Source organism: Homo sapiens, chromosome 12, assembly GCF_000001405.40.
Source record: "Homo sapiens chromosome 12, GRCh38.p14 Primary Assembly".
NCBI classification, from domain to species: Eukaryota; Metazoa; Chordata; class Mammalia; order Primates; family Hominidae; genus Homo; species Homo sapiens.
In genome coordinates this window covers 6,208,638-6,220,813 of record NC_000012.12, presented here as the reverse complement: position 1 = coordinate 6,220,813, position 12,176 = coordinate 6,208,638, and the positions used below count along the sequence as shown (strand labels likewise).

Here is a 12,176-nt window from a genome sequence, read left to right as displayed (position 1 = left end):
AATAGGGGAAACTGGGGAGGAGGATGAGGGAATTCTCTACACTATCTCTGCAACTTTTCTGTAGATCTAAAATTATTCTAAAACAAAGTGTATAAAACAATAATAAAGAAGCAGGGGTCTCTCTCTTTCAAAGCTTCCTGTCTCCTTCAAGAACCTGCTCCACTAATTAACCTCTTTCCTGACTATGCAGGTCTGCCTCTGCCACTTTTTTGACCTTTGCGAAGACACAGACAGGTCTCCCTAACCTAAAAATCCAAACAGAAGAAAACCAGAAATAGAACCCTTTTTTTCTTCAACCTCGCAGCTCCTTCAGGGTGCTCTCTGCTTTCCTTTCACCCCTGAGCTGGCGTCTTAACCACCTCCAAGTCCTCACTGGCTCGTCACTGCATCTCTCCCAACCCGAAAGGGGTGGTGAGTCTTAAGACTTTTGCTGAATCCTTATGTCTTGGGATCCCACAGCAGCTGACACCACTGAACCCTGCCTCCTCCTTGTCTGCTCCTTAGATGCAATCTCTCCAAGTTTCCCGAGTTCAGCCTCGTGCATTGTGCCTCTGCTAGTACAAGTCCCTCTTAGAATGCTGTCGTGATCGCCTAAGCCAAGCCTGCTGCTTCCCCACCCATTTCCTCCCATTCCTCCCATGCAAATGGCAAATGCAACCCCTGAGCAAGCCAAGCACGTGAGCAGGCCAGTGTCGCATCCATCCTGTCCTCTCCAGCATCCATGCTCCACACTCTCTGCCCTTCCTCTATCTGGGGTTTGCCTCCCATCTCAGCAGAGCACAAGCTCCTTGAGGTCCAGGGGACCTCTGAGTCATTCTTTTATCTCCTTTGCCCCATCCATGCTTTGGACGGATGGTCATTAGTAAGTAATTACTCCATAAATGAATGACTACTTCAGTGAAAAAGTATTTGAAATCCACCCAGATCTCCTCTCCTGTGTCCTCTTCATTTGGACCAGCTTCCTTTCCCATCAGGCCTTTTATCCAGATCCATCTTCAAATGTCTCACAAGAGTCAGAAACCACAAAGAGGCCAGGCGCAGTGGCTCTTGCCTGTCATCCCAGCACTTTGGGAGGCCGAGGCGGGCGGATCATGAGGTCAGGAGATGGAGACCATCCTGGCTAACATGATGAAACCCTGTCTCTACTAAAAATACAAAAAATTAGCCGGGCGTGGTGGCGGGTGCCTGTAGTACCAGCTACTTGGGAGGCTGAGGCAGGAGAATGGAGTGAACCCGGGAGGCGGAGCTTGCAGTGAGCCGAGATCACGCCACTGTACTCCAGCCTGGGCGACAGAGCAAGACTCCATCTCAAAAGAAAAAAAAAAGAAACCACAAAGAACAATTATTTGCCCAGAGTAAATACTAAGGAAGCCCCATTAAGGTTGGTTGGGGAATATTTGGGGAATGACAACAATTTCCCTTTCTGTTGGTGAAGCATGTCCCAATGTGACTTACAGGCAAATCCTTATACAGACTTTGGAAAACCAAGTTTACAAAAAGCCCATGCAGGCCGGGTGCGGTGGCTCATGCCTGTAATCCCAGCACTTTGGGAGGCCAAGGCAGGCGGATCACTTGAGGTCAGGAGTTTGAGACCAGCCTGGCCAACATGGTGAAACCCCGTCTCTACTAAAACTACAAAAATTAGCCGGGCGTGGTGGTGTGTGCCTGTAGTCCCAATTACTTGGGAGGCTGAGGCAGGAGAATCACTTGAACCCGGGAGCCAGAGGTTGCAATGAGCGGAGATTGAGCCACTGCACTCCAGCCTGGGTGACACAGCGAGACTCCATCTCCAAAAATAAAAACAACAAAAAAACAACCCATGCATTGCTGTCCTCGGTCTTTATCTGCAACTCTGCCAGCACCCCCATCCCTCAAAGAAGTCCAGTCAAACACTCTTATGTTTGACGAACACAGGTAAGCTGGTCACCTGGGGCTTATGTGAGCCTCAGGAGACATGAGAACCCAAGAGTGCCCCAAACTCAGGCCCACAATGAATGGTGTCCTGGTCATCCCTTGCCACACCCACTCACCACTGAGAGCACAATTCACCCAAGGCTCCCACGCAAAGATGAGAATTTCAGTGACTCACACTGCAAAATCTTGCTGCAGGGACAGGTTCAGAAATCTTACACTGAAACACACACCTGGAGTTACAGGAAACATTTCCAATTTCAAAGGAGGATTAAACAAAAAACATCAAAGTGTAACGGAGCTTAGGGGCACCTGGCTGCTCTGGGGACTCTATGCCAAGTGTGCAAAACCAGTTCCAGTTAGAACCTGGGGAGGTTCGTATGTACAGCCTGGCCTCCTGATGGAAATTCTTGAAGTAGGTGTGCTGAAAAAGAGGAGGTAACCCAGAGGAAGAGGAAAAGAGCAGTGGGTTGAACGTGGTTTCAGTGTGGGGGAGGGCATACTGCATGCCACTCCCCGGGTGGGAGAAGCCAAGTTTGCCTATGGGACAAATCCTACTGCAAAGAAAAATCCTTTGTGGTCAAACAAACTGGGTGCTCTTGGCGTGGGCCCCCTTTTCCTCCAGGTCCCATCTTCTGTAATATGTACTGACTGGCCATACACTTTTTTTTTTTTGAGACAGGGTCTCACTCTGTCACCCAGGCTGGAGTGCAGTGGTATGACCATGGCTCACTGCAGCCTCGACCTCTCTAGGCTCAGATGATCCTCCCACCTCAGCCTCCTGAGTAGCTGGGACTACAGGTGTGCACCACCACGCCCAGCTAATTTTTAAAAATTATTTGTAGAGATGAAGTTTCCCCATGTTGTCCAGGCTGGTCTCGAACTCCTGGGCTCAGGAGATCCACCCAGCTTGGCCTCTCAAAGTGCTGGGATTACAAGCATGAGCCACTGTACCCAGCCCATTTTTTAAAAAGGACAAAATATTTGTTATGCTTCCTCTATTCAGCTGCCTTGGAAAGCCCAGAAAGTGGAGAGCAGATCATTGCTCACAGTGATTTCTTGCTGAGGATGCCTTGGCCTTGAGGTGGCCATATCTACCACTTTGGGAGGGGTTGGAGGTGGGCAGTGGTGAGTGGATGGAGTCCAGGAAGGAGGGAGAACTTTCTTCCCAACTTCCCATTGTCCTCCTGGAAAAGCAATGGCTACTTGGTTACTCTGCTGAGCCCATGGTCAAAATGATACACAATTTTCAACAAGGGACAGGTGGCTTAATAGAAAGAATAGTGAGCTGCTGCCTGCACAGCTGTGCCACCTAGGGCCTGCTTCTTTATGGGGTGGGCATCAGAATCATCTGGGAAAATACTTGTTTTTTTGAGACAGGTCTCAATCTGTCACCCAGGCTGGAGTACAGTGGCACAATCTTGGCTCACTGCAACCTCTGCTTCCCGGGCTCAAGCGATCCTCCTACTTCAGTCTCTCAAGTAGCTGGCACCACAGGTGGAAGCCACCATACATGGCTAATTTTTTTTTTTCTTATTTTTTTTGTAGAGACAGGGTTTCACCGTGTTGCTCAGGCTGGTCTTGAACTCCTGAGCTCAAGCAATCCACCCACCTTGGCCTCCCAAAGCTTGGGATTACAGGTGTGAGCCATGGCACCCAGCCTACCTGGGGGATTTCTAAACATGCACCTGCCTCAGCAATCCCAGGGGACTCTTTGTGCTCCCAGGGATTCTATTGCACGCCTCTGTTGAGAATGACTGGACTGTGATGGATATAAACTTGGGCTCTAATTCTGGCACTGCTACCTAGGAGCTCTCTGACACTACACACTTTCCTCAGCTTCTCTGAACGTTACAGTCCTCGTTTGTGGAAAAAAAACAGTATGATACCTGTCCTGCCTTCAACGTAGGTTGAAGGAGAGGATTAAATAAAGTGATGCATGTAAAACATTCTGAAAACTGTGAAGTGTTACAGCCAGCCGGATTCCATAGGGAAAAAAAATGACAATAATAATAAACCCTGAGAAAGACGTGAGGTGACACTGGGTCAATTCATGGGCCCTCTGTGGACGGCTGTTGTGTCCTCCTGTGATCGGAGAAGGCGGCTGGGTGGCAGCGGGGGAATTTAGGACACTGGGGTTCTGTTTCCTGGTTTGTGTGGGAGTCTGTGTGAGCGCTGGGTAGTGGAGGAAAATGGATAAACTTATCTGCTTCACACCTGCAAACTGCCATCCAGAGCTCCACTAAGACTGGATGGGAATGGCCAAAGGAAAGTGGGGAAGGAAGGCTAAAGGGAGACTGTTGGCTCAGATTTTAGGCTTCTGTCCTTCCTTGGATCACAAACTGCTTCCGTGGGCAAATTAACCCTGCTGAAAGGAGTTATTACAGCAGCAGATAACAGAGAGAGAGGGGATTTTCCTGGGTTGGGCAGGAGAGGAAACCTTGGCCTCTTTATCACCCTCCTTCAATAAGATGCTTGTCAGCCCTGGTTTTTGTTTTTGTCATCTACTAAACTTGGGAGAGCATTAGTCATAGTTGTCCATAGCACCCAGGAAGTAAGCAACACACCAAATACTGGGGATGCAAGTTTCCCACACCAGCAGTTTTCCAGGCCCCAAAATACCAGTCACGCTTTAAGAAAGCCACAGAAGTGGAGATAGGCCCTCCCTCTTCGCACAGACTTCAACATTTAAAAACAAGTCAGGCCACCCAGACCTGTGGGCTCTGGGCCTCGCCCATCTCCATGGCAACCCTTGGCTCACTACTGCATGCCAAGCCTTGGATGGGCTGATTCACTCCTCAGGAAGCCGGGCCAGGCAGTGCCAGCAAGAACAAACAGGATCCCGATGCCCACAGCCTCCTCCAACCCTCTCTGTGTCCTCCTCTCCCACCTCCAAATGAAGGCTGGGGCTGTTGTCTTTGGAAGGGCAAAGCCACTTGGGCAGGACTAGAGGCTTTGGGGTGCTCCCTTATCCAGCTCCACCACACAGTAAACACCGGGAACAAGAAAACCAAAACTCCGCTGTAATCAGCAGAAGAAATTGCCACGACTTGCTCTCCTTAAGCGTCCCAACTAAACTACTGTAATAGCTCATGGCGGAATTTCTAGATGACAACAGGGCATATTACTAACTTTAGTTTTACTACAGCCAAGTTGAAAAGCCCCAGAGATCACAGCCCTAGAGAACCAGAACTCCCTTTTGTAGGTATGACTGGTTGGTCAGGCGCATCCTGGGGGCCATCTCTCCTCTCCAGACAACTTCTGCTCTTGGGACTTCTACCGAGCCACTGTCTGAAGGCAGTGCTCAAACCTTCAGAAATTCTTATCTTCAAAGGCAACCCAGGAAACTCTTCTCTATGCCAGTCCAGCAGCTCTCGAAATGACCCCAGACCAGCAGCAGGATGACCCAGGAACCTGGACATGCAAATTCGCAGTTCCCTCCTAGACTCACTCAGTGAAACTGGAGTGGGACTGGGCCGGCACTCTGTTTTCCAACACCTCCCCAGGTGACTCTCATCACGCTCAAGTTTAAGAACCACTACTCTAGGCCTTCATTTACACACCAATAATCAGGAAGGACAGAGAAAAGCTCTCTCTGGGGGTTCTGAATCCAGAGAATAGCTTTCTAAATGCCAGTGCCGAAAAGCCTGAAGGCATGGATGGGAGGTGTGAGCTTCCTCTGAGCTGGAGGTGCTTTGTGTGTGTTAGGGAGAGCTCACTGCCCAGCCCCACGAGGGAGCAGGACTGGCACCTACTACTTTACACTCCGATCTGGAGAGTGGGGCATTTGGGGGCTCAAATGCTTTGACCAGCACTGTGAGCCACGGGGAGGGAACCTGGGGTCACCCTGGAAATGCGGCATTGTGACCATTAAGGGTGAGGATGCAGAGAGGTGGGAAGGCAGGAAGAGGTAAGAAAGGAGAGAGAACGGCTGGACAACTCTGTGCTGAACCCACTGAGCCAGGAAGTCATGGTAAAGGGCTCAAGTTGGAACCTGCGTTTGGCTCCCAAATGCACATCCACCACCCAGGCCCTGCCTGCGTGAACTCTCCTCTGGTAACAGGCCCTGGTGACTCAGTGGGCCCGTGAGAGGCTCCCACAACCTGCAGCAGGGCACTCCTGGTAAGAACCTCCCCCCTGAATTCTGCAGCCGGCTGTGCTCCCTAGGCCAGCTCGCTGTTATGCATGAGACTGGACTTCTCCTCAAACCTCCCCGAACTCTAGAAAAACAATTTTTTAAAAGAATACACTCAGAGGCTGATGGTCAGGCCTCTGACCTGACCTAGCACTTTGGGAGGCTGAGAGGGGGGCGGAATGCTTGAGCTCAGGAGTTGGAGACCAGCCTGGGCAATATGGTAAAACCCAGTCTCTACTAAAAAATACAAAAACTTAGCTGGGAATGGTGGCACACGCCTGTAGTTCCAGCTACTTGGGGGGCTGAGGAAGGAGGATGGCTTAAATCCAGGAGGTCAAGGCTGCAGTGAGTTGACACTGCGCCACTGCACTCCAGCCTGGGTGACAGAGACCCCATCTCAAAAAAAAAAAAAAAAAAAAAAAAGAGGCTAATGGTCAAGTTGCAGGTTGTCTAGCTTAGGGAAAATAACACCACAGTAGCAATTTAACAGTAGAAGTTACTATGTACAAGGACCCACGCCCCCGACACATTACAGGAGGTGGTTTATGTACAGTCTCTCACTGAATCCTCTCATCACCCTCATTTTATGGATGAATCAGGCTCAGAGATTTTAAGCAACTGACTCAAAAAGACACAGCCAGGAAGAGGCAGAGCTCAGATGGAACCAGCTCCACATAGACGACTCAAAGCTATGCTCTTCTCGATGCACGGTGCTTCCTCACTGGCCAGGGGGTGACTGGGAAAGATGTGAATCCCTGAGAAATTTTCTTGGGGGACAAGTGGGAGGCTTGGACGTGTTGAATTTGGCAAAATGCTCTGACTTAAGCCTTAACCTGGTGACAGGGTTTCCCTGCCTGCTGCAGCTTGACAACAGATGCTTTCAATTTGGGGTGTTGACCCTAGCCCTGGTGGGGGCCAAGAGGGAGGGAGGGAAGATGCTGGCCCGTAGCTTCTCCCTTGGGTTTGTTCTCTCCCGCCATTGAGGCTGGGAGAGGTGGTGGTCCCTGGGAAGCTGCACCCTCAGGCGCTACCTTCCTTCCACTTCCTACCCCTGGTGTCTACACAAGCAATGGTGACCGTGGCTCTGCATCTCTCTGGGACCTGGTTTCTGGGTGTAGGTGTTCTAGGTGTCCAGAAAATTCTACATACGAAGAATCAACTTCCTTTTGGAAGGCACAAGGAGTGAACTGAAGGAGAGGCATTGAGGCCACCCTTCTTGGTGTGGACATGAAGTAGATTTTCCTTCAATTTCCATTGTAAATTAATTTCCAAGTTGAGCTCCACAAAGCGAGTCTCTGCCAATGGGGCATTCTTACAGGCGCTTCCAGCAAAGTGCAAAACTGATTCCCTTCTTTATCCGTCTTCCCCAAACTGGGGAAGTCTCAGAAATGAGTGTTTTATAGACAGGTGGAAAGATACGTCCTCCAATTCGTGTTCGAGAGGGAGAAAGACTGGAGGTAAATTTCAGCATTGACTGATCTTGTGTGATGTGGTTTCATGAACTGAAGTGAGAAGATATGGATGAATGTGAACACTTAGACAACCTCAATCTGTGAAAAATGTTAAGGAGAGGTACCAGTAGCAGCAACTACAGCAACAGCAGCAGAAGCTAACACAGAAGCTCTGCCTGTGAGCCAGGCCCATATAATAGCTTTACATTAAATATCCCCTTAGTCCCAGTAACAATCGTAAGACGCTGGTTGTGTTATTACCTTCATTACACAGATAAGGAAAGTAAGGCTTAAGGAGAGTGACTAATTTGCTGTCTCCCCACGGGAATCAGCGTTTCTATCAAGACAACTCCTTGCCCGCTCCTGGCCCACTCCCCCCAACCCCAGCAATGTCCCTGGGTCATAAATGGCCCCTGCTATTATATGTCACTCTTTTATACCATAAGGGCAGGCTGGGGAGAGGGGTCCACACATACACTTAAACCCAACATTCCATGACAAGCTGGGTCCCTGGGGAGGCCAACTTCTGCCTTCTGTGGCCATTTAGTGCTCTAGACACTGAGATGATTATGGTACCTACCCCACAACCCATACAATTCAACATAAAAAAAGTTGAACTTGTAAGATAAAGCTCAAAAAAAGTGCCTATTTCCCTGGATTCCTTGAGCTGCCTGCATTGTTGGTGCCCTAAGCACATGCTTAGCCTGCCTACTGACTCTGTGGCCTCCCTTTCCAGGGGTGCTAGTGCAGCTGGGGGGCTCCTGGGTGGAAGGGTGAAGGTGGCCCTAGACAGCTACAGCCTGGGGGTGCCACCACCTTGCTATGCCTGGCTCGTTGTGTGTAAATGTTCGAGCCTGGCCTCAGGCTGGTGCAGGCCATTACTTTACAAGAGAACATTCCCTGTGGGAGCAACAGTAATGCAATGCATGAGAGGTTTCCCAGGGAGGAGACTAGAATTACACTACAAGGCCCTGCTGCCCCTTCTGATTCTTAGTGGGCTGCCTTAGAGCCTGAGAGCTAGTTAGAATCATCCCTGTGAGAGATGAAGAAACAGGCTCCGAGAGGTAAAGCGACTTGCCCGTGGTCACAGAGCAGGCATGAGTGACCCAGCTGTCAGCACTCTTCCTCTGACGGTGCACAGCACATGCCATGCAGAGATCGGTTACTTGCTGACCTGTCTCCTCCCTGATAGAAGGGAGACAGCTTGGTCCCCTCTCCAGGGTGTGGCAGAGGATGAGGAACTCCGTAAGCTTTTTCTCAGCATATCTTTCTGGAAATTAGGCAGCTACCTGGTCTGAACAAGTTCGAGTTGAGAAATCTTCCCTCCTTTCAAGGACAAAGTCAGCATCATTTAAAAACCTGGAGCCCTTCCTCTGCCCTGGAGAGGAGAAAAGCTTCAGTGAAGTGTACTGGCGTTAGGATGTTGGGGCTGATTGGGAGGGAGGCCCCAGCCCAAGGTAACCTCTTTCTAAACAAGAAATCCCATTTCAAGTTTCCACTGCCTGCTTGCCAGACGCGTAGCATACACTGGCCAGCCCATAAATCCCTTTTCCACTGAAAGCAGGCATTCTGATCTTAACCAAAATCATCTGATGTGGGGGATTGTTTTGGATGTTTTGCTTTAAATTCCAGAATACCACACATTTGTTTTCCGTTGTGTATGCCTCGCCGAGCTGTCTGGCGATGACTGCACACACTCTTGCTGACACACTCTAGCCACTTGCAGCAGCTTGCTCTCATTCCATCTGCAGAGTTGGCCGCCACGTGCGTGCGTGGCCCTGAGTGGTGGGAGATGCTCCTTCCTTGACAGTTTTCAAGCAATGCCAGGTGGTGCCTGGAGTGGCAGGGTCGGCTAAAAGCACTTCCGGCACCGCTTGGTGGAACGGCCCTCCTGCTCCAACATGGGATCTTGCAAACCCCAAGCCAGCAAGGGAGGCCAAGATCCCCAAACTCTTGTCTAACCTATCAACCTGCCCTACCCCTCTGCCAGGAGCTCCTTCTTCATATTAGGTCACCTAATTACTAGCAGCAAGTACTCAAATATTTGCTATCTATGTTCCACAACCCCACCCTAAGCACTTCTCCAGAACTATTTAGTTTTCAGAATAGGCCCACCAAAGAGGTAATATTGTCTTCTATTTTTTAGATGAAAAAACTGGGGCACAAAAGTTAAGTTGCTCGGGCCGGGCACGGTGGCTCAAGCCTGTAATCCCAGCACTTTGGGAGGCCAAGGCGGGAGGATCACAAGGTCAGGAGTTCAAGACCAGCCTGGCCAACATGGTGAAACCCCATCTCTACTAAAAATATAAAAAAATAGCCAGGCATGGTGGTGCGTGCCTGTAATCCCAGCTACTTGGGAGGCTGAGGCTGTTCAATCGCTTGAACCCAGGAGGCAGAGGTTGCAGTGACCCAAGACCACGCCACTGCACTCCAGCCTGGCAACAGAGCGAGACTCCTTCTCAAAAAAAAAAAAAAAAAAAAGTTGCTCAACTGAGATCACAGGGCAAGTAAGTGGCAGAGTTAGAACTTGAACCCAGAATGGTCTGACTGCAGAGCCCCAATTCTCAATTATTTTGTTAAGCTGTTTGTGTTTTTGATCCATTTCTTCTATTCTGAAGCCAGAATTTTTTCCCTTTTGCCTGTTTCCCCCCCATTCATATCTAATCCCATTTCAAAGTGGTGTTTTCGATCTTTAAAGGCCACAAGGGAGCCCATCTGCACCGGAAGGAAGGCAGCTTGCAGACGCGCCTCCTCCCTGACAGCAGGGCAGCTGCATGGCCACCTGGGCTGGAGATGCCACCTACACCTGGCCTCGCTTGGGGGCAGTGGGGGTAGTGGGTGCTCGAAGAGAGTCTAAAAAAAACAGCCGGTGCTTCCTCTCCCTGGCCTTTGTCCTGAGAGCTTCAGCCACACCCTTGGTTCCACTGGTCATATAGTCAGGGTGGACAGAGGCGGCGCTCTGGGAAGGGACTCTCCAGGGCAACTCGCACATCCTCCTTTCCCCTTGGCTGCACTGTTGCAGCTGCCCATTGGCATTGTGTCCATAGACGGGACCGCAGCCCGTTCAGTGGCCATGGTCCTTCCATCCCCCGTGAAAACAGCCCCAGAGTGGGACCCGGAGCCTCTGCCCTTCCCCAGAACCACCCTGCCAGCAAAGGGCAGAACAAGATGACATCAGCACAGGCCTCTCTGTGTTATAGCCCTGGGCACGAGCTCTCAAGACACACCCCAGGGTCCTAGAGGAGAGTGCCAGCCTCCCATGACAAAGAAGGCCAAAGTGTCCCTCCTCATCCTAGAAGATAATCTAATTTCTATTTGAAATGAGCAGTCCCAGCTGGGCGCGGTGACTCACGCCTGTAATCCCAGCACTTTGGAAGGCCGAGGTGGGCGTATCACCTGAGGTCAGCAGTTCGAGACCAGCCTGGTCAACGTGGCAAAACCCCATCTCTACTAAAAACACAAAAATTAGCCGGGCATGGTGGTACATGCCTGTAATCCCAGCTACTCAAGAGGCTGAGGCATGAGAATCGCTTGAACCCAGGAGGCAGAGGTTGCAGTGAGCCGAGATTGTGCCACTACACTCCAGCCTGGGCAACAGAATGAGACTCCATCTCAGAAAAAAAAAAAAAAAAAAAAAGAAATTTGCAGTCTGGGTCTCTAAAGGGTTGTGTCTTAGGGAGCCAGGGCTACAATTTGACTAGAGAGGAGGAAAGGAGAGTATGAAGAGATTTTCTCAGGCTTGTAGACAGGAAGCTTTAAAACATCTGAGCTTAGCAATAATAAATTTAAATCCACAGTCCCACATTGTGAGAAAGAAGATGTTTACATTGCACCATGGAGAGCAGGAGGAATATGTCTTAGTGGGAAGGGCCTCCCGTCTCTAGGAACGGGGCCGCTGAGGGAGGTATGGATGACTCCCCACCCAGAAAACATCCAGTGGAGTTGGGCATAAATCTGGGGTGTGCATGCACACTACACACTGCAACTGCCCACCTACAAGGGAAGACATGATGTGGATTCAAACACCAGATTTCTATTGACTTGAAAAGCTACGACGAGCCCGGTGCGGTGGCTCACGCCTATAATCCCAGCACTTTGGGAGGCAGAGGTGGGTGGATCACCTGAGGTGAGACCAGCCTGGCCAACATGATGAAATCCCATCTCTACTAAAAATACAAAAATTAGCTGGGCGTGGTGGCATGTGCCTGTAGTCGCAGCTACTCAGGAGGCTGAGGCGGGAGAATCACTTGAACCTGGGAGGCAGAGGTTGCAGTATGCCAAGATTGCGCCACTGCACTCCAGCCTGGGTGACAGAGCGAGACTCTGTCTCAAAACAAACAACAAAAAAAGCAATGATGAGTTCACAAATAGTATGATTTTGCTGATCATTTCATTTAGAGTTTTAATAAATCAGTACACTGTATTATCATACTACATTCAATCAACTTAGGTTTAAAAGACATTAAACTACACACCTGTAATCCCAGCACTTTGGGAGGCTGAGGCGGGTGGATCACCTGAGGTCAGGAGTTCAAGACCGGCCTGATCAACATGGAGAAACCCCGTCTCTACTAAAAATTAGCCGGGCATGGTGGCACACCCCTGTAATCCCAACTACTCAGGAGGCTGAGGCAGGAGAATGGCTTGAACTCAGGAGGCGGAGGTTGCGGTGAGCTGCG

At 50.2% G+C, this 12,176-nt stretch overlaps 1 protein-coding gene across 14 annotated transcripts in view, besides 11 other annotated features; it reads right to left on the bottom strand.

Moving 5' to 3' along the window:
• Positions 1–12,176, bottom strand: part of CD9 (CD9 molecule) — a 38,321-nt gene that overhangs the window by 17,453 nt on the left and 8,692 nt on the right. The window lies entirely within an intron of this gene.
• Positions 1,257–1,551: a silencer, noted in NCBI's record as "tiled region #3368; HepG2 Repressive DNase matched - State 9:DNaseU". NCBI's record gives its function as "represses a minimal TATA promoter and a strong SV40 promoter by Sharpr-MPRA in HepG2 cells {active_cell/tissue: HepG2}" and the evidence as "EXISTENCE:reporter gene assay evidence [ECO:0000049][PMID:27701403]".
• Positions 1,563–2,435: an enhancer, noted in NCBI's record as "H3K27ac hESC enhancer chr12:6327545-6328417 (GRCh37/hg19 assembly coordinates)". NCBI's record gives its function as "activates a minimal SCP1, AML or CMV promoter by ChIP-STARR-seq in primed H9 embryonic stem cells {active_cell/tissue: H9 hESC(primed)}" and the evidence as "EXISTENCE:reporter gene assay evidence [ECO:0000049][PMID:30033119]".
• Positions 1,563–2,865: a biological region, named in NCBI's record as "CDK7 strongly-dependent group 2 enhancer GRCh37_chr12:6327115-6328314".
• Positions 1,666–2,865: an enhancer, noted in NCBI's record as "CDK7 strongly-dependent group 2 enhancer chr12:6327115-6328314 (GRCh37/hg19 assembly coordinates)". NCBI's record gives its function as "activates an origin of replication core promoter dependent on BRD2, BRD4, P300/CBP, MED14 and CDK7 cofactors, with strong dependence on CDK7, by STARR-seq in HCT116 cells {active_cell/tissue: HCT116}" and the evidence as "EXISTENCE:reporter gene assay evidence [ECO:0000049][PMID:35650434]".
• Positions 4,956–5,459: an enhancer, noted in NCBI's record as "OCT4-NANOG-H3K27ac-H3K4me1 hESC enhancer chr12:6324521-6325024 (GRCh37/hg19 assembly coordinates)". NCBI's record gives its function as "activates a minimal SCP1, AML or CMV promoter by ChIP-STARR-seq in naive and primed H9 embryonic stem cells {active_cell/tissue: H9 hESC(naive and primed)}" and the evidence as "EXISTENCE:reporter gene assay evidence [ECO:0000049][PMID:30033119]".
• Positions 4,956–5,961: a biological region, named in NCBI's record as "OCT4-NANOG-H3K27ac-H3K4me1 hESC enhancers GRCh37_chr12:6324019-6324520 and GRCh37_chr12:6324521-6325024".
• Positions 5,337–5,631: a silencer, noted in NCBI's record as "tiled region #8477; K562 Repressive non-DNase unmatched - State 22:ReprW". NCBI's record gives its function as "represses a minimal TATA promoter and a strong SV40 promoter by Sharpr-MPRA in K562 cells {active_cell/tissue: K562}" and the evidence as "EXISTENCE:reporter gene assay evidence [ECO:0000049][PMID:27701403]".
• Positions 5,460–5,961: an enhancer, noted in NCBI's record as "OCT4-NANOG-H3K27ac-H3K4me1 hESC enhancer chr12:6324019-6324520 (GRCh37/hg19 assembly coordinates)". NCBI's record gives its function as "activates a minimal SCP1, AML or CMV promoter by ChIP-STARR-seq in naive and primed H9 embryonic stem cells {active_cell/tissue: H9 hESC(naive and primed)}" and the evidence as "EXISTENCE:reporter gene assay evidence [ECO:0000049][PMID:30033119]".
• Positions 5,962–6,465: an enhancer, noted in NCBI's record as "H3K27ac-H3K4me1 hESC enhancer chr12:6323515-6324018 (GRCh37/hg19 assembly coordinates)". NCBI's record gives its function as "activates a minimal SCP1, AML or CMV promoter by ChIP-STARR-seq in primed H9 embryonic stem cells {active_cell/tissue: H9 hESC(primed)}" and the evidence as "EXISTENCE:reporter gene assay evidence [ECO:0000049][PMID:30033119]".
• Positions 9,303–9,804: an enhancer, noted in NCBI's record as "H3K4me1 hESC enhancer chr12:6320176-6320677 (GRCh37/hg19 assembly coordinates)". NCBI's record gives its function as "activates a minimal SCP1, AML or CMV promoter by ChIP-STARR-seq in naive H9 embryonic stem cells {active_cell/tissue: H9 hESC(naive)}" and the evidence as "EXISTENCE:reporter gene assay evidence [ECO:0000049][PMID:30033119]".
• Positions 9,835–10,458: an enhancer, noted in NCBI's record as "H3K4me1 hESC enhancer chr12:6319522-6320145 (GRCh37/hg19 assembly coordinates)". NCBI's record gives its function as "activates a minimal SCP1, AML or CMV promoter by ChIP-STARR-seq in naive H9 embryonic stem cells {active_cell/tissue: H9 hESC(naive)}" and the evidence as "EXISTENCE:reporter gene assay evidence [ECO:0000049][PMID:30033119]".